This window comes from Homo sapiens, chromosome 13 (genome assembly GCF_000001405.40).
Source record: "Homo sapiens chromosome 13, GRCh38.p14 Primary Assembly".
NCBI classification, from domain to species: Eukaryota; Metazoa; Chordata; class Mammalia; order Primates; family Hominidae; genus Homo; species Homo sapiens.
The window spans coordinates 76,533,349-76,556,614 of record NC_000013.11 but is presented as its reverse complement, the minus strand read 5'-3'; the positions used below and the strand labels follow the sequence as shown (position 1 = coordinate 76,556,614).

The 23,266-nt window shown below is 37.2% G+C and overlaps 1 long non-coding RNA gene across 1 annotated transcript; it reads left to right on the top strand.

Moving 5' to 3' along the window:
• The first annotated feature begins 1,875 nt into the window (after positions 1 to 1,875).
• LOC105370264 (uncharacterized) lies at positions 1,876 to 4,520 on the top strand. The gene is made up of 3 exons (XR_942095.1): positions 1,876 to 1,913; positions 2,550 to 2,704; positions 4,459 to 4,520. It is a non-coding gene; the product is annotated as an uncharacterized LOC105370264 (long non-coding RNA).
• Positions 4,521 to 23,266: the final 18,746 nt, after the last annotated feature.

Sequence of the window (23,266 nt, the reverse complement as noted above, 5' to 3'; positions counted from 1 at the left end):
GATCTCAGAAATACAAGAGCCAGTATACAACAAAGCGAACACAGATCGTGTTAGATTTTCTCCTTTTCAGTATAAAATAAGGACTTTTTCAAACCAGTTACCTATAAGCATAGATGAAACTTGGTGATTTGAATATGTCAAAATTATGACATGGCTATTTTTCCTCTGCACCCACATACTTCTTGATTATTCTGAGAGCAGAGGTCTCTTAGTGGCCATCCAGAAAGTCAGTGACCCAAAGGCTTCTGCACATCATGGAACAGCATCTGACAGAGAAAAGATGGACTGGACTCCCAGATGGGAATGATAATGATGAGCACAGCTGTACTGTCCCCCAAGATGTGTGTGTTTATACTTCTTTGTATGTGGCTCTTGCTCAAGAGCTCCAGCTCAGTGAGGGGTTCAATTCCTAACACCCTTTTCTCTGTCTGGAAAGAGAAATGTGAGTTGGAAATGCTAACCCATAAATAAACCACTGTCCTTTTTGGACAGTGGAATACTGAAGCCTGGGGCTCCCCTTTTCCAGGCTCCTTCACTCGAAATGTCCTTTATTTCTTCAAGCAATGCTGGGTGGTAGTGGTACCTAACCTCTACAAATTAGCCCGTATATTAAAAAAATGTGTTTCATCCAAAAATGTACCAGCAAATAAATTATTTGAGGGCAAGGACTCTCCTGTGCATTAAATATCCACTTGTGTGGGCCATAGTAGGTGCACAGGAGATATTTCTGGATGAATAAAATATAGCTTAGTTTTGCCATATTGAAGACTTTTACAAGTAGGTGTTAATACTCTCACCTGTAGTAGTTTTCTGCAGGTTTCAGTAGGATCATGATTATGAAAACAGCCACTACTAAAACATCCTCCACTGGAGCTGATTAACTGAATGATTGATAGCTGCAGATCTTTGTATATCCAATTTTGAAGACAACATAAAATGAGTTTCCCAATTGTCAATGTGGATTTGCAACATGGTTCCATGAAATTTCTCACATAGGTTAAACTAAGTAGAAGAGGTGGGAAATCACTGTGGTCTGATAGCATCTGTATTGCCAACTCATGAGGTTCGTCGTTGTATTTATGCCTTATGAGCTAGAAAGAGATGTTAATGATTGTATAGGATACCAGTGAAGTTGCTTTCAAAGCAATTAAAAGATTTTAAAGCCTCTATTGTGTGCAAGGCCCTAAGAGGAGGGAAAGGGAGGCCAAAAAAATTCACTGTATGTCTCTGCCCTCAAGGGGCATAAATTCTAGTTGAAGAGCAAAGGCATGTGCACCCTTGTGTGGCTTCCCCCCTCATTTCATACAGGCCTCGCTCAATCGTCACCTTATTAGAAACCCCTGCCCCCAGCACCCTTCCCTCACCATCGTGTAGCTTTAGCCCACCTTACTTTTCTTCACAGTACTTATCACAATATGAGATAACATTTATTTATTTGTTTGCTCATTTTCTGTCTCCTCTCACTAGAATGTAAGCTCAGGAGTAAAAAAGAGCTTTGTCTATTTTGCTCATTGCTGTGTGTCCAGTGCCCTGGGGACTGGCCCCTTAATAAACAGTTATTGTTGAGTGGGCAATCAATATCAGGTAGCCTATAATTTCCTCATCTGCTTGACACTAAATAATCTTTGAGCCCTTCTATGGTCAAGGACACATGTCTAGTCAGTGTGTAAAATAAGAATTAAAAGAAGTAACTTGTTCTTATCCTATTTAGAAAAATGTGAGACCCAGTAGATTTCGCCTCTTTGAAAACATTTATTGAGACTTCTTTTTTTTTTTTTTTTTTTTTTGGAGATAGAGTCTCGCTCTGTCACCCAGACTGGAGTACAAGGATGCGATCTCGGCCCACTGCAACCTCCACCTCCCAGGTTCAAGCGATTCTCCCACCTCAGCCTCCTGAGTAGCTGGGATTACAGGTACCCACCATCACGCCCGGCTAATTTTTGTAAATTTTTTTTGAAGAGATGGAGTTTCACTGTGTTGGCCAGGCTGGTCTTGAACTCCTGACCTCAGGTGATAAACCCACCTCAGCTTCCCAAAGTGCTGGGAGACTTCTTATTTTCATCCAGGCTTTCTTTTTCCTTTTTTAGATCTGTTTTTTCTGCTAGAGTCAATTCTCATTACTACCACTGTTACTGAAGTGACAATTGTACAGATGGGCCTCAAAAATGTCTGATGGCATTTTGTAGTATGCAGAATCTTATACTCACAGAAATAATCTTTTTATAGATGTTACAGTCTTGGGAAATGAAGATCACACAAATTGAATTGATTACTTGAGGGGAAAAAAAGAAAATACATAACTGCTTAATGTCTCCCAGACTCTGAATTACAGAAAAAATTTTGTTGAAACACAATGAAATTATACCGTGCAATTCAATCACAGACCAAATCTTTCAGGGTTGTTGTTGCCCTGAAATCCATCAATAAAAGCAATATTGTTTAGTTGCAAATGCAATTTTGGAGACTAATGTGAACTGTTTCCTAAAATAGCTATAGCAACAACCAATTTAATTTTCTCATAATAATTTCTATTTTTTTTTTTTCTGTAGACATGGTATCTTGGATAACACCTGACGATAATAACAAAGGAACTGTAATTCTGCAGCCTTGGCTTGACTTTTTTTATGCCTTAGGGAATGAATAAGTACGTAAATGAGAAATGAATCATGATAGTCACTTGTCAATCCAAAAATATGTGAGCAAGGTAGGCTAAGCATGATTGGCTGGGTGATTGGAGAATCTACTGAAATATATTGCTTTCTTTAAAATACATTACTCTCTTTAATTGAATTAGGTTAACTTCATGTGATTGGCACATACATTAAGATCAAGAATTGATGATGAGCAGGAGGTGATGACCAGAGGATAACACTAAATTTGAAGAAAGATTAGGAAATCACCTAAGACTGGGCTGAATGACCTTTAAATTACCTTCCAACCAGACGTTGTATGATTTTTTTTTTTAATTGGAGATGGAGTCTCGCTCTGTCACCCACGCTGGAGTGCAGTGGCGTGATCTTGAACCTCTGCCTCTCAGGCTCAAACAATTCTCCTGCCTCAGCCTCCCAAGTAGCTGGGACTACAGGCGCACGCCGCCAGTCCTAGCTAAGTTTTTGTATTTCAGTAGAGAAGTTTCACCATGTTGCCGGGTTGGTCGCGAACTCCTGAGCTCAGGCAATCCACCCACCTCGGCCTCCTAAAGTGCTGGGATTACAGGCATGAGCCACCGCGCCTGGCCCAGACACTATGATTTTTAAGAAACTGTAGCCCATCACTTGGTGCCTTCATCCAGAAATATCTTTTGAAGTAACAGTAGGGAACTGAAAAATCTGTGATAGAGTGAAAGAGATAATTAACAGGTTCTTCCAGCTGGATTCTCACCTCCTCCAGTGGAGGATGTTTTAGTAGAAAATATCAGCCCAACTGATATTTTCCAAGATTGTTGGGTCTTAAGAGTCATTAGATGAGATTGTTAAAAATACCAGGTCTCAGGCTCCTCTCTGTCTCTGAGTTCTGCAGATTCTGATTAAGTGGAGACAGTTTAAAAAAGAGGGAGAACGACCTCCTATAATCCTACCAGAAATTATGTTGTCATTTTATGTTTTTGCATTAACTACATAAAATGACTCACCCTATATATGATTGTTTCTACTTATCTAGATGTTTGCCTAATCCAGGAAATGATGAATTTAAATTTTGAATTACCAAGGGACAGAATTATGATCACATCTACATTTAATTTGTGATGATTTTTATATATATGTTTTAGATATATGCACACTTAAGCATTTTAAAAATTATATATGTTTATCTTATATAATATATAATGTTATACATATAAATTATTATATAGAAAATTGCGTATGTGTTTGTTTTGAAAACATTGAAAAGGAAAGTGATTGATGTTGTTTTCCTTTCATATTGTAAAATAAATTCTCAGAGAAAGAGGACTTGGCAATTTTAAAACTGTGTGTGATTGCCAATAAGATAATTTAGATTACATTCTTAACACTTCTCATCAGGGAGGAAATGTTTTGCAAAGAATGGGTACACTGACATAGGAACAACATCATTGATTTTCCTGTTTAGAAAAAAAAAATGCAGCTTGTTGCCAGCGCTTATTTAATTTTACATAAACATGCTCTTTGAGAGTGAAGCAAATCTGACTGATTTTCAAAGTGAAAATAAAATATACAGACTGTTCTTGGAGTTATTTCTAAACAGAATGAACATCAGAATTGTCTGAATCATCAGAATTGTCTATTTCAGAAAAATTGATTCATCAAATGAATCTTTGGCCAACAAATGTTCAAGAACGATATTAACATCACATGTAGGAATGCTACGTTTTCTAAGATTTGACATTTTTAGCAATGAGGAATTACTATATTTTGTAAATAGAAATAACACTACTAACAACAGAAAGCTATAAATAGAATGACGTCTTTTGTTTCCAAGAGCCATGTGAAAATAATAAAAGCAAGATATTTTCTGGCAAATTTATCTTGGGGTTAATGCTGCAGCCACAAGCACCTCCAGTGAGTATTCTTGGGGCAAATGGAAAAGGGGTTAAAAATTTAAAAAGTCTTATGATCTCATGGGTGTAAATTAAGATATTACTTCCTTATAGACTCAAGTTAATAATTACTTTGGAAACAACATATTAATTTTTGATAACTTTAGAAAATCACCCTGAACAAAAAGGAAAAAATGTTTAGCTAGTTAGTATGATAAAATCATTAATTAAAATATTTAACTCCCTGCTGATACTCTATAATGGAGCTGTCGCCAGAAAAGCATAAGATGACTATTTTTTCTTATAAGAAGATTTTGCATTCATAATTCAGTGTACTCATTGAAGGGACAAAGACATTTGCGCTCACACAGCTGTGTGGATAAAGGGATTCAGATTACCTGAGTATTGATTGTTCTTTGAGTTCCTAGGTGGAGAAATTGACATTCATATATTAGAGCTAATGAGAGATGGACCTTCTCCCTAGACACTTGCTGAGTTAAAAATAACATTAAAATATTTTCAAAAATTATAGGGAAAAACAAATATGTGTAGCTCAAAATCAGACTGAGGACTAAGGGGGTGGATTAACATCTGGTGAAGGCTTGGGTTATCCTGAGGCACGTTTCTCTGTGCTTCAGCCTTTCACCGGGAAAATTATACTTTCTCTGAGTTTACAGAGATTCAATGAGCTCATCCATGTAAAGTGCTCAGAAGAGTACCTAGCAGATAAGAATGGCCAACAACAGTCGCTATTATTATCACAAAACATACAGTAGAGAGTGGTCTCCAGGAAATCACCTGGTCCAGGCATCCCTCTTCAGCTGTGTTATTTTGTTTCTAAAGATGAGGTTATGTGGACTTGAGAGGTCTAGAGCCTACCCCATAAACCACCTTGTCTTAGGTACATTCACTGACATTATAGCCTACCTCTTACCTTTTCAGAAAATAATTTTGGAACATTTTCTGTCACATAGATGCTTAACAAATATTGAATAGAGAAATAATTGTATGAATTATTCTTTAACAGCTTTATCAAGGTGTAATTGATAAAAATTGTACACATTTAAGATATGCAACCTGATATTTTGACATATGTATACATTATGAAATGATCACCATAATCAAGCTAATTATCACATATCCATTACATCACAAAGTTACCATTGTTGTCTTCTTTTTCCCTTCTCCTCTTCCTCGTCCTCCTCTCCTGTCTCCTCCTCCTCATGTCAAGAACAGTTAAGAGCTATCTATCTTTTAACCACATTTCAAGTATACAATACAGCATTGTTAACTGTAGTCATGATGCTCTATATGAGGTCTCTGGAACTTATTCATTTTGCGTAACTGAAACTTCATACTTTTTTTTTTTAATTGAGATGGAGTTTCGCTCTTGTTGCCCAGGCTGGAGTGCAATGGCACCATCTTGGCTCACTGCAACCTCCGCCTCCTGGGTTCAAGCTATTCTCCTGCCTCAGCCTCCTGAGTAGCTGGGATTACAGGCAACTTCCACCACACCCAGCTAATTTTGTATTTTTAGTAGAGATGGGGTTTCACCATGTTGGCCAGGCTGGTCTCGAACTCCTGACCTCAGATGATCCACCTGCCTTGGCCTCCCAAAGTGTTGGGATTACAGGCATGAGCCACCGTGCCTGGCCAGTATAGGCTTTTAGACTAAAAGCCAAGACGTCTTGTAATAAATTTCTGTTTTCTATAGTGCCTCATAACTTCCATCTATTAATGAACACGGAGACTGCTACTTCCTAAAACTGATGAAGCAGGAAGAGAGCAGACATGGAGACAATCACATGAGCTATTTACTATCCACCCATGCTGATTTCTTTTTTCTTTTGTTTTTCTTTTTTTTTGAGACAGAGTCTTGCTCTGTCTCCCAGGCTGGAGTGCAGTGGCACGATCTTGGCTCACTGCAACCTCTGCTTCCCGGGTTCAAGCAATTCTGCCTCAGCCTCCTGAGTAGCTGGGACTACAGGTGCACACTGCCATGCCTGGCTAATCTTTTCTTGTATTTTAGTAGAGACAGGGTTTCACCATGTTGCCCAGGCTGGTCTCAGACTCCTGAGCTCAGGCAATCCACCTGCCTCGGCCTCTCAAAGTGCTGGGATTACAGGCATGAGCCACTGCATCTGGCCAATTTATTTTCTTTTGCAATTTTTTGACAAGTAAAAGTTGTATATACTTAGGATGCGCAACATGATGTTTTGACCTACGTTATACATTGTGTAATGGCTAAATAAAGCTATTTAACCCACCCATTACCTTATATACTTATTTTTTTTTTGTGGTAAGAACATTTAAAATCTACACTCTCAGCAATTTTCAAGCATGTGATATATTGGTATTAACTATGGTCACCATAAATCTCTTTAATATATGTCTCTTAACTGAAATTTTATTTACCAACATCTCCCCAGTCTCTTTACCTGTCCCTCGTCCCTGCTCCCAGTCTCAGGTAATCACCATTCTACTCTCCGCTTCTATGAATTTGATTGTTTTACATTCCATGCATGAGTGAGATCATGTGGTATTTGTCTTTCTGTGCATGGCTTGTTTCACTTGGCTTGATGTCCTCCATGTTCATCCATGTTGTTGCATATGACTGGATTGCCTTATTTTTGGTTAAAACTTTTAGCCACCTCTCCCAACTTCAGACTCTAAGCTTTATGAAAGCAAGAACTGCTGTTATGTTTACCAATATGTATCTATCCATTAGTTTCATGTCTCGTATAAAGTAGATACTCAAAAATCTGTGTTGAATAAAGGAATAAACATAACAGGCATAAAATAAATATTTATTATGTTGCCAGTGCTGGGTACATCACTTCACATACATAGGTGCTTAATCAATATTGAATGAGTAGACATGAAAATGAAATGCAGCATCAAAATTTGGGGGTGTGGGGTGGGGTTTACATAGCCTTGAGTTAACTAGGTATGTTAAATGTGCCAAACTAACCTATTATGTAATCAGAGCCCTGGTAACAAATGAAAATCTACTCTCCCTTGTAAGTCCCTGTTTCTTCTGATTCAAGTTGAGTATGCTAAGTGCCCATTGAGACTTTAGCCTTATCTTTCTAGCAATGGCTCTGGGCTTATATAGAATTTCACTTTGAGACAGTGGTTGGTGAAGCAGTATACTGTATGAGACTGGTAAAAAGAGTGAAGAGTTGAGAGGCTCCATTTGGTTTCAGTTTGTACCATTGTTTGAAGTACTCAGTTGGTTGAATACTCCAAATAATGGTTCAAATTCAAACCAAATGGAGCCTCTCCACTCTTTTTATACAGAAAAAACAGAAAGCACTGTTGTATTGAAAATAGTTCTTTTGGAATAACATAAAATATCAGAGATAACATGCTTTGCCATTAAACAAATTCATGACCTAGAAAATTTATTCTTTTTATTCATCACTGATTTGGGTAACTGAAAATTGCGTCAATTATCTTCTCATAGTTATCCCAGAAAAGGAACAAGTATAAAAACAGTCCCTCTTGCTACATAGCCTCCTGTTATGTGCTCTGCACATATCTCTGTTATGGCAATACCATGTTATTGAGCAATTTTTGTATTCATATACATGTGAGATGGGGTTTTGTCCTCACTTTATTTAGTTAGTTTTATTGAGACAGGGTTTCATTCTGTCATCCAGGCTGGAATGGAGTGGAGCAATCAGGGTTCACTGCAGCCTTGACCTCCAGGACTCAAGTGTTCCTCCTACCTCAGCCTGCTGAGTAGCTGGGACTACAGGTGCACACCACCTGGCTAACTTTTTTATTTTTTGTAGAGATGGGGTGTCTCTACATTGCCCAGGCTTGTCTCGAACTCTTGGGCTCAAGAAATCCTCCTGCCTCATGTGTAGAGGGAAATTTATAGCACTAAATGCCTACAAGAGAAAGCAGGAAAGATCCAAAATTGACACCCTAACATCACAATTAAAAGAACTAGAAAAGCAAGAGCAAACACATTCAAAAGCTAGCAGAAGGCAAGAAATAACTAAAATCAGAGCAGAACTGAAGGAAATAGAGACACAAAAAACCCTTCAAAAAATCAATGAATCCAGGAGCTGGTTTTTTGAAAGGATCAACAAAATTGATAGACCGCTAGCAAGACTAATAAAGAAAAAAAGAGAGAAGAATCAAATAGACACAATAAAAAATGATAAAGGGGATATCACCACCGATCCCACAGAAATACAAGCTACCATCAGAGAATACTACAAACACCTCTATGCAAATAAACTAGAAAATCTAGAAGAAATGGATACATTCCTCGACACATACACTCTCCCAAGACTAAACCAGGAAGAAGTTGAATCTCTGAATAGACCAATAACAGGATCTGAAATTGTGGCAATAATCAATAGTTTACCAACCAAAAAGAGTCCAGGACCAGATGGATTCACAGCCGAATTCTACCAGAGGTACAAGGAGGAACTGGTACCATTCCTTCTGAAACTATTCCAATCAATAGAAAAAGAGGGAATCCTCCCTAACTCATTTTATGAGGCCAGCATCATTCTGATACCAAAGCTGGGCAGAGACACAACCAAAAAAAAAAATTTTAGACCAACATCCTTGATGAACATTGATGCAAAAATCCTCAATAAAATACTGGCAAACCGAATCCAGCAGCACATCAAAAAGCTTATCCACCATGATCAAGTGGGCTTCATCCCTGGGATGCAAGGCTGGTTCAATATACGCAAATCAATAAATGTAATCCAGCATATAAACAGAGCCAAAGACAAAAACCACATGATTATCTCAATAGATGCAGAAAAAGCCTTTGACAAAATTCAACAACCCTTCATGCTAAAAACTCTCAATAAATTAGGTATTGATGGGACGTATTTCAAAATAATAAGAGCTATCTATGACAAACCCACAGCCAATATCATACTGAATGGGCAAAAACTGGAAGCATTCCCTTTGAAAACTGGCACAAGACAGGGATGCCCTCTCTCACCACTCCTATTCAACATAGTGTTGGAAGTTCTGGCCGGGGCAATCAGGCAGGAGAAGGAAATAAAGGGTATTCAATTAGGAAAAGAGGAAGTCAAATTGTCCCTGTTTGCAGACGACATGACTGTTTATCTAGAAAACCCCATCGTCTCAGCCCAAAATCTCCTTAAGCTGATAAGCAACTTCAGCAAAGTCTCAGGATACAAAATCAATGTACAAAAATCACAAGCATTCTTATACACCAACAACAGACAAACAGAGAGCCAAATCATGAGTGAACTCCCATTCACAATTGCTTCAAAGAGAATAAAATACCTAGGAATCCAACTTACAAGGGATGTGAAGGACCTCTTCAAGGAGAACTACAAACCACTGCTCAAGGAAATAAAAGAGGACACAAACAAATGGAAGAACATTCCATGCTCATGGGTAGGAAGAATCAACATCGTGAAAATGGCCATACTGCCCAAGGTAATTTACAGATTCAATGCCATCCCCATCAAGCTACCAATGACTTTCTTCACAGAATTGGAAAAAACTACGTTAAAGTTCATATGGAACCAAAAAAGAGCCCGCATTGCCAAGTCAATCCTAAGCCAAAAGAACAAAGCTGGAGGCATCACACTACCTGACTTCAAACTATACTACAAGGCTACAGTAACCAAAACAGCATGGTACTGGTACCAAAACAGAGATATAGATCAATGGAACAGAACAGAGCCCTCAGAAATAATGCCACATATCTACAACTATCTGATCTTTGACAAACCTGAGAAAAACAAGCAATGGGGAAAGGATTGCCTATTTAATAAATGGTGCTGGGAAAACTGGCTAGCCATATGTAGAAAGCTGAAACTGGATCCCTTCCTTACACCTTATACAAAAATCAATTCAAGATGGATTAAAGATTTAAACGTTAGACCTAAAACCATAAAAACCCTAGAAGAAAACCTAGGCATTACCATTCAGGACATAGGCGTGGGCAAGGACTTCATGTCCAAAACACCAAAAGCAATGGCAACAAAAGCCAAAATTGGCAAATGGGATCTAATTAAACTAAAGAGCTTCTGCACAGCAAAAGAAACTACCATCAGAGTGAACAGGCAACCTACAACATGGGAGAAAATTTTCGCAACCTACTCATCTGACAAAGGGCTAATATCCAGAATCTACAATGAACTCAAACAAATTTACAAGAAAAAAACAAACAACCCCTTCAAAAAGTGGGTGAAGGATATGAACAGACACTTCTCAAAAGAAGACATTTATGCAGCCAAAAAACACATGAAAAAATGCTCATCATCACTGGCCATCAGAGAAATGCAAATCAAAACCACTATGAGATATCATCTCACACCAGTTAGAATGGCAATCATTAAAAAGTCAGGAAACAACAGGTGCTGGAGAGGATGTGGAGAAATAGGAACACTTTTACACTGTTGGTGGGACTGTAAACTAGTTCAACCATTGTGGAAGTCAGTGTGGCGATTCCTCAGGGATCTAGAACTAGAAATACCATTTGACCCAGCCATCCCATTACTGGGTATATACCCAAATGACTATAAATCATGCTGCTATAAAGACACATGCACACGTATGTTTATTGCGGCATTATTCACAATAGCAAAGACTTGGAACCAACCCAAATGTCCAACAATGATAGACTGGATTAAGAAAATGTGGCACATATACACCATGGAATACTATGCAGCCATAAAAAATGATGAGTTCATGTCCTTTGTAGGGACATGGATGAAATTGGAAACCATCATTCTCAGTAAACTATCACAAGAACAAAAAACCAAACACCGCATATTCTCACTCATAGGTGGGAATTGAACAATGAGATCACATGGACACAGGAAGGGGAATATCACACTCTGGGGACTGTGGTGGGGTCGGGGGAGAGGGGAGGGATAGCATTGGGAGATATACCTAATGCTAGATGACACGTTAGTGGGTGCAGCGCACCAGCATGGCACATGTATACATATGTAACTAACCTGCACAATGTGCACATGTACCCTAAAACTTAAAGTATAATTAAAAAAAAAAACATTAAAAAAAAAAAAAAAAAAAAAAAAAGAAATCCTCCTGCCTCCCAAAGTGCTGGGATTATAGGCATGATCCATGAACATATTTTGTCATTAAATTTCATTACCTACATTCTTTTTATTCATTACTGATTTGAGTAACTGAAAAGAGTCAATCTTCAGATTTCATGATCTCCATCAATGCATCTTATAATTTACTGATTTTTTTTTCTGGCACTTCAGATCTGTTGATCCCCTCTAGTGAATTTTTCATTTTGTTTCTTGTAGCTTTTAACTTCCAGATTTTTACTCAGTTCTTTTTATTAATTTATGTATTACTATTCTCTATTTGATGACACTGCCACCATATCTTTCTTTACCTCTTTAAACATCATTTTCTTCATTTATATTTATAACAAATTTGAAGTATTTGCCTGCTAAACCTAACATCTAGGCTCTCAGAGGGAATTTCTATTGCCTACTCTTTTTCCCTATGGATGGATCACATTTGCTTTTCATTTCTTGTAATTTTGTTAAATCTGGACATTTTAGATAATACATTGTAGCAACTCTGAATCATAATCTCATCACCCATGTACCTACAGGGTTTTTTTTATTGCATGCTTATTTCTTTAGTGACATGGTTGTACTATTTTAATGAAGTCTACTTCCATAGCAACGTATAGTCTCCTTGTGTTAACTCCACATTGGGCACAGCCTTGGGCATATTAACAGTCACCATAGAATGACAACAGTTTTAGAAAAGCACTCTTCATCTTTCTCTTTTCTTCATCTCTCTATTGTCTACCTCTCTTGTTATCACACTCAGCTCTTAGCCTCAAGTAATACCTGCTGATTGCTCTATTATTTTTGATAATGCATTGGGACATATATTGCTGCACAGTCTGATCTAATTAAATATGGGATTCTCTGCAGGATTAGATTTTGAGGCTAGTGTTTGAGGCCTGTTATGACCCCAGAGGTCTATTCTTAGCTGTTTCTTTCCCTGATTCTCTCAGTTGAATCACAAGCTGTTCTACAGTTTAGCCTGTTGGTTGCTCTGATAAAGCTACCACCTTCCTCTTAATTGCTCACCAGCAAAATCTCCTTTGTTTTAGACAGCATCCTTTCATTTGAACTTCCCCACACTCTGTTCTAAACAAAATCAGTGCCCTCGGGGAGAACTGCAGAGGTCTCTGTTCTTACAGGTTGCCTCTTTCTTTAGAAAAAAATGGTTTCACTATTCTGGAGCTTGCTTTAGGGACAGTAGCACACTTCTCTTGGAGTGACTCCATGACACTCTTATTGTATGAGTGGGGTTCTGGGCAGGGGTGATATCCTCTGTTCTTCCCAGCTTGGTTCACCCAGTAGAAAGCCTCTACTTTATGAGTTAACAGGAGAGAGGGTGATTGGGGTTCAGTATTCTTGGTCTGTCATGCCTGGATAGAGCTTCTGCCATTGAAATGAGGATGGGTGTAGGAATGGAGTTCCAGACCTCTCAAATGGTTTGCCTGAAATAGAGCTTCTGCAACATGGAGCTGGAGGTACAAAAAATGCTGGTTTACTGTCCTTCCCATGAAGAAACTGTAATCCTATCCTGGGAGCACTAAAGAACCAACAAAGGCCATATTTATTATGCACTTTTAATATAATGGGAGAACTGGATTTACCATAGTTAAGCGCATAATTTACCATGCTTGAGGCACTGTATTTTCCTCATACTGTCCTTGAATGTCAGAGTTTATTTAGAGCTATTTTTCACAGGTAGGGAGCAAGGGATAGAGTGGAGGGAGGGAACTCTGTGTTCTTGGCTGCACCTTCTAAGAGTTGAGTTTCCATCATGGTGATATGGAGTGGGGTGGGGATTAGGTCACGGCTCAACTACGACAGACTCTTACTGTTCTTACCAAAATTGAGTAGGTTTTCTTAAATAATTGTTTCTCCATTTGCTGAATGCCCTCAACAATTTTCAGAGAGTTTTCATGTTTTATTTAATTAATGTACTTTTACAGTTTTTACCAATCATGGTCGTTCCCTGGAGAAAGGGCCATGGGGATCCTCACATTGCCATTCTGGAAGTCACATCTCGATATTTTGCATTTTAATGAGCTTACAAAGCTATCAAAGCCAGGCCACTGCTCACTAGATTAAATGTCCCTTTGTTACCCATTAGAAAAAGCCTCTCTGTTCTGACTTTCAGACAGTGTGCCATCACCTGCCAGGAAATTGTCATAATAAATATACAATCTACAATAGCAATCAATATAAAAACTGCCTTTAGAGTTGTTCATTATGGCACTTAATAAGCTGGGCATAATGTCCCTGCATGGACCTTTAAAGATGATGTTTTGTCAGCAGGAAAACAAAATGAGGTGGCAACAATGTATTTCTAGAGTCCCCAAACTTGCCTATTGAATACACATCTACCCTGTCTATAAGAGAGGCCATCTTTATTTTTATGCACATTTAATATAATGGGAGAACTGGATTTACCAAAGTTCATATTTTTCATGCTTGGGGCACCATATTTGCCTCATACTTTCCATGGATGTCAGAGTCTATTCATTGTTATTTTTTCATAGGTAGGTAGAAAATGGATCTCCTGTGAAGTATATTTATATAAAGTAGAACGACTAAATAAAGGCGTGTTTCTTTAACGTAATAAGCATGAGAACTACATTTAATTCTTAGTCATATTTCCTGCATTTCATTTGTTGTGAATCAAGCATCCAGGTCCATATTCTATTCTGCTTTGTTATGCTATGAACTTGCAGAATGTTCATAGTAGTGTTCAGGGAGTAAAGAAACACATGCCTATTGATTGTGAGGTGACCATAAAACGTTTGCAACCTCTGTATTTACAGACTTTTTAATGCTTTCTTATTAACTTTTCTCAAAAACCATGACCCTATTTCCGTCACCTGAAAATAATGAGCTGCAAATCACATCTGAATCTACGACAGGAAAAGAAGATACAGGGATAATCTGGGAAAAGAAACATGATCTGTAGCCTTACATTTAAAGTGCCACATTGTTAGCCCTACTCCTTTGTTTTCGGCTTTTATTTTACTTTCGATCATTCCTCATTTCTGTTTTTTCCTCTCTCATCATTATCTCAGATTCATGCTGCTCTTTGGCTGCTGTGGGGTTGCTGTATTTTCTCCTGAGAGAAATGAGTACTCGAAGTGACTGATGCTGTTAATGCTTGTTACTGAGTTAGAAAGGAGTTAGGTAGATGCCATTAATTTTCTCCAGGGACAGCAAGTGGAAATCTGGAATGCCACCTGGTAAGAGGTGGATTAGTGAGAAGAAGGTGAAATCTTGAATCCATGTTACCTATTTCTTGGTTCACATGTACCTAACTCCTCAGGTATTATACACCATCTTCAAATGATTAAGTGACAATGCCTAGTGTAAAAACATGTAGTTACTTTAATGGTTTTTCAGTTGGTTTTATTGATGTATACTTGGGTTATAGTAAAATTTATCCTTTTTTTAGGTGTGAAGTTTGTTATTTTTCAGCAAATGAATACAATTTGTGTAACCACCATGACAACCATGATATAGATTATTTTCATCACCCCGCAAAGTTTCTAGTGCCCCTTTCTGGCTGACACCCTCCACTTCCTCCTTTCACCTCTAGCAACTGATTTCTGTATCCTCAGTTTTGCCTTTTGCAGAATGACATATAAATGGATCACAAAAGTATGCAGCCCTTTGTGTCTGAGTTCTTGCACTTAGCTTAATGCCTTTAAGCCTAATTTATTTGTTGCAGGTATTAAGTAGTTTGTATTGCAAAGTAGTGTTCCATTGTATCATATACCACAATTTATATATTCACTGATTCTTGGGCATTTAAGCTTTTTCCAATTTTTGGAAACCATGAATAAAGCTGCTGTAAACTTCCATGTACAGAAATTCGTGTGGACATACATTTTTGTTTATCTTGAATAAATACTTAGGAGTGAAACTGCTGGGTTGTGCCATGTGTATATATTTAATGCTATAAGAATGCCCCACACTCTTTTCCAAAGTAGGTATGCCATTTTGCACGCTCATTAGTAAAATATGAGATTTCTAATTGCTCCTCATCCTCGCCAGCACTTGCTATTGCCAGTTTTTTGGTTTTTTAATTTTGCTGTTCTAGTAGGTATTTAGTGATATCGTTGATTTTAGAGATCTAGTTTGCCCCTGTGGTTTTGGTTTGCATTTTCCTAATAACAAATACGTTGACATTTTCATATGCTTATTTGCCATTTTGCTTTCAACTTTGTTGAAGTATTTATTTAAATTTCTTAGCCCATTTTTCTAAACTTTTAAAAAATTATAATTGACAACTATGAATTGTGAGTTACAATAAAATTTAAATATATGTATGTACATATATATAATTGAGTTGACTTTAATAAAATATTGAGTTGTAAGAGTTTTTAAATATATATATATATATATATGATAGAAGCTCTTTATCAGATATGTGTTTTGCAAATATTTTCTCCCAGTCTGTGGCTTATCTTTTAATTTTCTTAATATCATTTATTCAAAAGCATAAAATTTTATTATTAAGTCCAATTTATCAAGTTTTTTTTTTTAATGGCACATGCTTTTTTGATTCTAAGAAGTTTTTGCTATTCCAATGTCATAAGAATTTTTCTCTTATGTTTTCTCACAAAAGATGTATAATTTCACATTTAAGTCTGTGATCCATTTTGAGTTGTTTTATGCTTATGGTATAATATATAAGTGAGCTTTCTTTTTTTTTTTGTATGTGGATGTCCATACCTAAAAGCACCATTTGCTGAAAAGACTATTCTTTCTTCCAGTGACCTACTATGACATGTTTGTTGAAAATTGGTTGACAATATCTATCTATCTATCTATCTATAGGTCCATTTCCGGACTTTCTTCCTTGTTCCTATTTTACATGAATAGTATCTTTTCCATTATAGCTTAATAGTTTAAAATCATGTACCACAAGTTCTACAGCTTTTTTCTTCTTTCCAAATTTTTCCTCATATAAATTTAGGGTCAGTTTTTCAATTTGTACAAAAAAGAATATCAGGATTTTGATTGGAATTGCGTTGAATCTCTTTATCAACTTACAGAGAATTAATACCTTAGCAATATTATTTCAGTCTATGAACATGATATAACTCCCATTCATTTAGTTTGTATTAATTTTTCCCATCAATTTTTATACCTTCAGCATATGGATCTTAGAATTATTTTACTAGACTATACCTAAGAATTTCTTGTTTTACTGTCCTATTGTAAATGGCGTTGTTTTAAAATTTTTAATTGTGCATTTGTACTATATAGAAAACATTTGATTTTTGCATGTTACCCTTTATTGTATCTTGCTAAACTCACATGTTAGTCCTACTTAATATTTTTTGTAGCATATTTGGGATTTTCTATTTAGAGCATCAAGTTGTCTGTTACTAAAAACTGTTTTATTTCTCTCTAATTTTTGTGCCTTGTTTTCTTGTCTTATAATGGATAGCATCTCTAGTACAATGTTGAATAGAAGGAATATGAGTAGAGACACTTGCCTTTTCTCCTTTTCTTAACAAATTTACTCAATTAAAAATGTGAAGGTAATGAAGAATATCAGAGTGGTATCAGAAACCTTAAGTTCTAGTCCAGATTTACAATTAACAAATTATGCATAGTTTAAGGTATTTTTTCTCTCTACATTATCGTGATGAATATCCACAGCATGAAGTGTTTAATACCAAATAAAGAAAATAAAGATAAGATAATAGAGTATCAGATTTCTTGATAGTGATTTTAATTTGTATGAATGAAATAGAAAAGGTCTGACACCCAATTAAATCTCATGATCTATAGACAACAATATTTAAGGATATAACTATATAGTTATAACTACTCAGTGTTATTTGAATTTTAATGCTAGTCATGTATTGTGTACACATTTACAATGTTCAAGTAATTCTAAATCAAAAGTTAGAAATATCAGATTTTGTTGCAAGTGAATTAAAAAAATGTCTGCTTGCACAGTTTCAGTCTTTGTATAGTCTGCCTCATAAGATTGCAGTTGTTGGGTAACAAAGAAAATACATACCACATTACAAATTATATTATTAGCTTTATAGTTTCAAAATTAGCTTTTTATGAGTTTAAACTGTGGAAACTAATGTATTAGCTGTGGATGCCTTTGGGTGAACTAACATGATCAAACATCTGACTCTAAAGGGCTAAAGGCAGTCTTTAGATGATGGTGCTCTTACCCAGAATGTTTACCTGATCCTTATTGTTTTCTAATTTAAAATTCCTGAAGCAGTGTAAGTTCAATAAAGAATTGTGTGTGTGTGTGTCTGTGTGTGTGCGCTCGCACACGTGCACACGTGCTTTTCTGTTTCATACTTGCTTGAATTTGACCTTTTTCTTTTCAATGACAGGTATTTATTATCTCAGAAGAATATGAATTATAATAATAAGACAAAAGTAAGTGTCGATTTCAACCTTTGACTGTCAAAATAGAATCTTGTAGCCCATAGACAGGTAATAGCTCTGAAAGTTTTATGTCAGAAGGCCACTTTTCTTAAAATTTAAAACCATTTTTTTGTTTTTTTAAACATATTAAGAACAAAACTTGTGGTCTAAACTGAGATTTTAAGCCATAGGAAGTAAGAACTCAACGTATGCCCAGGTTAAAAACAGAGTCCCTGTAATTGAAGAAAGTGAGGAGTGTGGAGAAGGCAAGGAAGGGCTCAGAGTCCAGGAGAATGGAATGACCTTTCTTCCTGCTCCCTCAGATGAGCAGCAGGCTCCTCTCTAGCCCGAGTCCTCCCTGCCTTGCCTTGGGTGTGAGCAGTGAGAAGAAAGGAGCTCCAGGGGAGGACTTACTGAACTCAAGGAGGAGATTACCATGCAGGGAGTCCCTGCTACAGTATTCAACACAGAGCACTTGCAGATGGAGGAGACGGTGTTGTGGTGTGTTTAGACAGAGGGCCTGAGAGAATGTCCCTGCACAAATCTCAGCTCCCACGTGAACTGTCAGGATTCCACAAATTCCTCTGTTGCCTGTGGGGGTTATAGAAAACCAGTAAGGATAAAATTAAGCTGATGGCTTTAGGGTGCCCCCACAGAGCAAAGTTGTGGCTATGTGTAAGGAAATCTGCAGTGTCCATGAGAGGAAGGGGAAGACTGATCAATAGTAAGGAATTGGGCGATGTCCTTGGAGGCATTTATATGATTGGCCCAGGCTAAGGAAGAAATTCACAGCTGATATCAGCCATGGCCAATTCAGCAGATGCCCAGAGGCAAACGAGACAATACATTAATTCGACAGATGGCATTAGAACCTCTGACTATCCAATTCCATGAGAATTTCATGTATTTCCCTGTACCCAGACACTATCTTGGAAGGGAAGCAGGAATGGAAGACCCCTTGAGAAAAAAAAAAAAAAGAGCTTTGGACCAAGATTACACTTTGACCAGGCTCCATTTTTGTCCAAAAGTGAAGTCCCCCTTTAGTTAGAAAGTTTAAATCATCCTGCCAAACCTGCCTGCCATCAGAGAAAAAAGTATTCAGCAACATTGTGAATGTATGGACAATAAAGAAAAGAAACTTTTGTGTTTTGCACTTTGGAGAATCTTGTGAATTTTCATCCTATTCCAACCTTCTGAAAAATAACAGTTTTTCAGAACAGAACATTTGCTTCATAGATACAGTTGTGTGGCTGCTGCCCCTCCCAGTAACAGCACTAAGCTGAATGCTTGACTTCTTGGCAGATACAAATTCTGTGCCCCACTTCTTACCTCATTACTGTCAACTTTGGAGTCAGAAATCCTTTGAAAAGGCTTTGAAATTTGACGCCAGTGAAAAACCTGTTCTTTACAAGAAAGTCATCCATATGTTATTGAGAACTATTTTATTATACTTTAAGTTCTAGGGTACACATGCACAATGTGCAGGTTTGATACATAGGTATATATGTGCCATGTTGGTTTGCTGCACCCATCGACTAGTTATTTACATTAGGTATTTCTCCTAATGCTATCCTTCCGCCAGCCCCTCACCCCCCAACAGGCCCTGGTGTGTGATGTTCCCCGCCCTGTGTCCAAGTGATCTCATTGGTCAGTTCCCACCTATGAGTGAGAACGTGTAGTGTTTGGTTTTCTGTCCTTGTGATAGTTTGCTAAGAATGATGGTTTCCAGCTTCATCCATGTCCCTGCAAAGGACATGAATTCATCCTTTTTTATGGCTGCACCTGGAGAACAATATTTAAAAGTAGATACATAACGGGATTTGTATGGCTTTAAGTTAGAGGATGAACCTGAGGTGATCCAACTGGAGAAGCCAATATCAGTTAAAAATAAATACTCTCATGTTTTAGGATAGTGTTCTTGAAGGAGTGTACTGTCTGTCCAGAACAAAGCAGGGTTGTTTCCTCTTGACTGCAAAGGGCTTCTTGCTTCCCCTGATGTTCAAAATTCCTGCCATGGGGCTATTTATAAGTGAATCTGCATCAAGAAGTTCCATACTTACGGAATGACAGTTGTCATCTGAGTTTCAGGCTTTCCTCAATACTCGTACCAGTTTTAGTTTCAATATTTCAAAAGAAATTAGCATCTAGGCAAGAGTAATGCAAATGCATTATCTCTTGTTAGGCATATATTTAGACCATGAATGAGATAGATTTTGGATTTAGAAATAAGAAAGAATTTCTTGCCTCTCACCAATCTGACCTATAGCAACGATTCTCAAAGTGCTGTTATTAGTCCACCTTCATCTGGAAATGTGTTGTGAGAAATTATTGAAAATGAAAATTCTCAAGCCCCAGTCCAGACCGATTGAATCCAAAACTCTGGTGGGGCAGGTGAGGACTTGTGTTTTAACCAGCCCTACAGATGATTCTGATGCATGCTAAAGGTGGGGAACCATTAATCTATAGGACATTACTTAAAAAAAATCACCTTTCTGAAATCCCTTAAAATAAGACTGATGACTGTGTATACAGAACACTTTGGTAAAAATATTTCCAAGGAGTAGTTAGACTAAATAATCTATTTAATATTACTTTCTTGACATATATCGAACAAGTTTATACATTTCCCAAAATGATACATATAGTGTAGATCAGTTTGGTCACTGTTTTAAATGTAAACATATGTGATAAAGAGGTTAAAGAAGAAAATAAATGTAAAATATTTAGAACAGTGCTTAGAACTGTGCCTTGCACTTAGCTGAATGCTGTATAAAATAACAGCTCTTAAGGGACATCTACTTCATGTAGGCAATGTGCTAGCCAGTTTTGGGTATATAACCAATAATGAGATTGCTGGGTCAGATAGTATTTCTGGTTCCCTCTTAGAGGAATTGCCACACTGTCTTCCACAATGGTTGAACCAATTTACATTCACACAAACAGTGTAAACGCGTTCCTATTTCTCCACAGCCTCACTGGCATCTGTTGTTTCTTGACTTTTTAATAATCACCATTCTGACTGGCGTGAGATGGTATCTCATTGTGGTTTTGATTTGCATTTCTCTAATGATCAGTGATGTTGAGCTTTTTTTTCATGTTTATTGGCCGTATAAATGTCTTCTTTTGAGAAGTGCCTGTTCATGTCCTTTGCCCACTTTTTAATGAAGTTATTTGGTTTTTCTTGTAAATTTAAATTCCTTGTGGATTCCGGATATTAGACCTTTGTCAGATGGATAGATTACAAAAATTTTCTCCCATTCTGTAGGTTGTCTTTTCATGCTGATAATAGTTTATTTTGCTGTACAGGAGCTCTTTAGTTTAATTAGATCCCATTTGTCAATTTTTGCTTTTGTTGTGATTGCTTTTGACGTTTTTGTCATGAAATCTTTGCCTGTGCCTATGTCCTGAATGGTATTGCCTAGATTTTCTTCTAGGGTTTTTATAGTTTTGAGTTTTGTATCTAAGTCTTTAATCCATCTAGAGTTGATTTTTGTATAAGGTGTAAGGAAGGGGTCCAGTTTCAGTTTTCTGCATATGGCTAGCCAGTTTTCCCAGCACCATTTATTAACAGGGAATTCTTTCCCCATTGCTTGTTTTTGTCAGATTTGTTGAAGATCAGATAGTTGTAGATGTGTGGTCTTGTTTCTGAGTTCTCTATTCTGTTCCATTGACCTGTGTGTCTGTTTTTGTACCAGTACCATGCTGTTTTTGTTACTGTAGCCTTGTAGTATGGTTTGAAGTCAGGTAGTGTGATGGTGCCAGCTTTGTTCTTTTTGCTTAGGGTTGTCTTGGCTATACAGGCTCTTTTTTTGGTTCCATATGAATTTTAAGGTAGTTTTTTTCTAATTCTGTGACGAACATCAATGGTAGTTTAATGGAAATAGCATTATATCTATAAATTACTTTGGACAGTATGGCCATTTTCACAATATTGATTCTTCCTATCCATGAGCATAGAATGTTTTTCCATTTGTTTATGTCCTTTTTGATTTCCTTGATAAGTGGTCTGTAGTTTTCCTTGAAGAGGTCCTTCATGTTCCTTGTTAGCTGTATTCCTAGGTATTTTATTCTCTTTGTACCAATTGTGATGGGAGTTCATTCATGATTTGTCTCGCTGTGTGTCTACTGTTGGTGTATAGGATGGTTGTAATTTTTGCACACTGATTTTGTGTCCTGAGTCTTTGCTGAAGCTGCTTATCAGCTTAAGAAGTTTTTGGGGTGAGATGATGGAGTTTTCTAGATGTAGGATCATGTTATCTACAAACAAGGACAGTTTGACTTCCTCTCTTCCTATTTGAATACGCTTTATTTCTTTCTCTTGCCTGATTGCCGTGGCCAGAACATCCAATGCTGTGTTGAACAGGAGTGATGAGAGAGGGCATTCTTGTCTTGTCCCAGTTTTCAAGGGGAATGCTTCCAGCTTTTGTCCATTCAGTATGATATTGGCTGTGGGTTTGTCATAAATAGCTCTTATTATTTTGAGGTATGTTCCATCAATACCTAGTTTATTGAGAGTTTTTAACATGAAGGGATGTTGAATTTTATTGAAGGCCTTTTCTACGTCTATTGAGATAATCATGTGGTTTTTGTTTTTAGTTCTGTTTATGTGATTAATTATGTTTACTGATTTACATATGTTGAACCAGCCTTGCATCCCAGGGATAAAACCAACTTGATCATGGTGGATAAGCTTTTTGATGTGCTGCTGGATTTGGTTTGCCAGTAACTTATTGAGGATTTTTGTATCAATGTTCATCAGGGATATTGGCCTAAAGTTTTCTTTTTTTGTTCTATCACAGCCAGGTTTTGGTAACAGGATAATGCTGGCCTCGTAAACAAAGTTAGGAAGAAGTCCCTCCTTTTCAATTGTTTGTAGTAGTTTCAGAAGAAATGGTACCAGCTCCTCTTTGTACCACCAGTAGAATTCAGCTGTAAATCTGTCTTGTCCTAGACTTTGTTTGGTTGGTAGGCTATTTATTACTGCCTCAGTTTCAGAACTTGTTATTGGTTTATTCAGAGATTCAACTTCTTCCTGGTTCAGGGTGTATATGGTGGATGTGGGAGGGTGTACGTGTCCAGGAATTTATTCATTTCTTCTAGATTTTCTAGTTTAAAGTATTTAGTCTTCACAAATATAAAGTAACTTTCCAAATGCCACCTAAGCAGTAGGTGATGAGTCATCTGTAAGTCTGTTGCCTAACTATAAACCTACCTCCCTGAGTAAATTCACTTTAAGGGCCCTCTATATACGATGTGCAATAATGACCATGGTGGGATCTTATTTTGA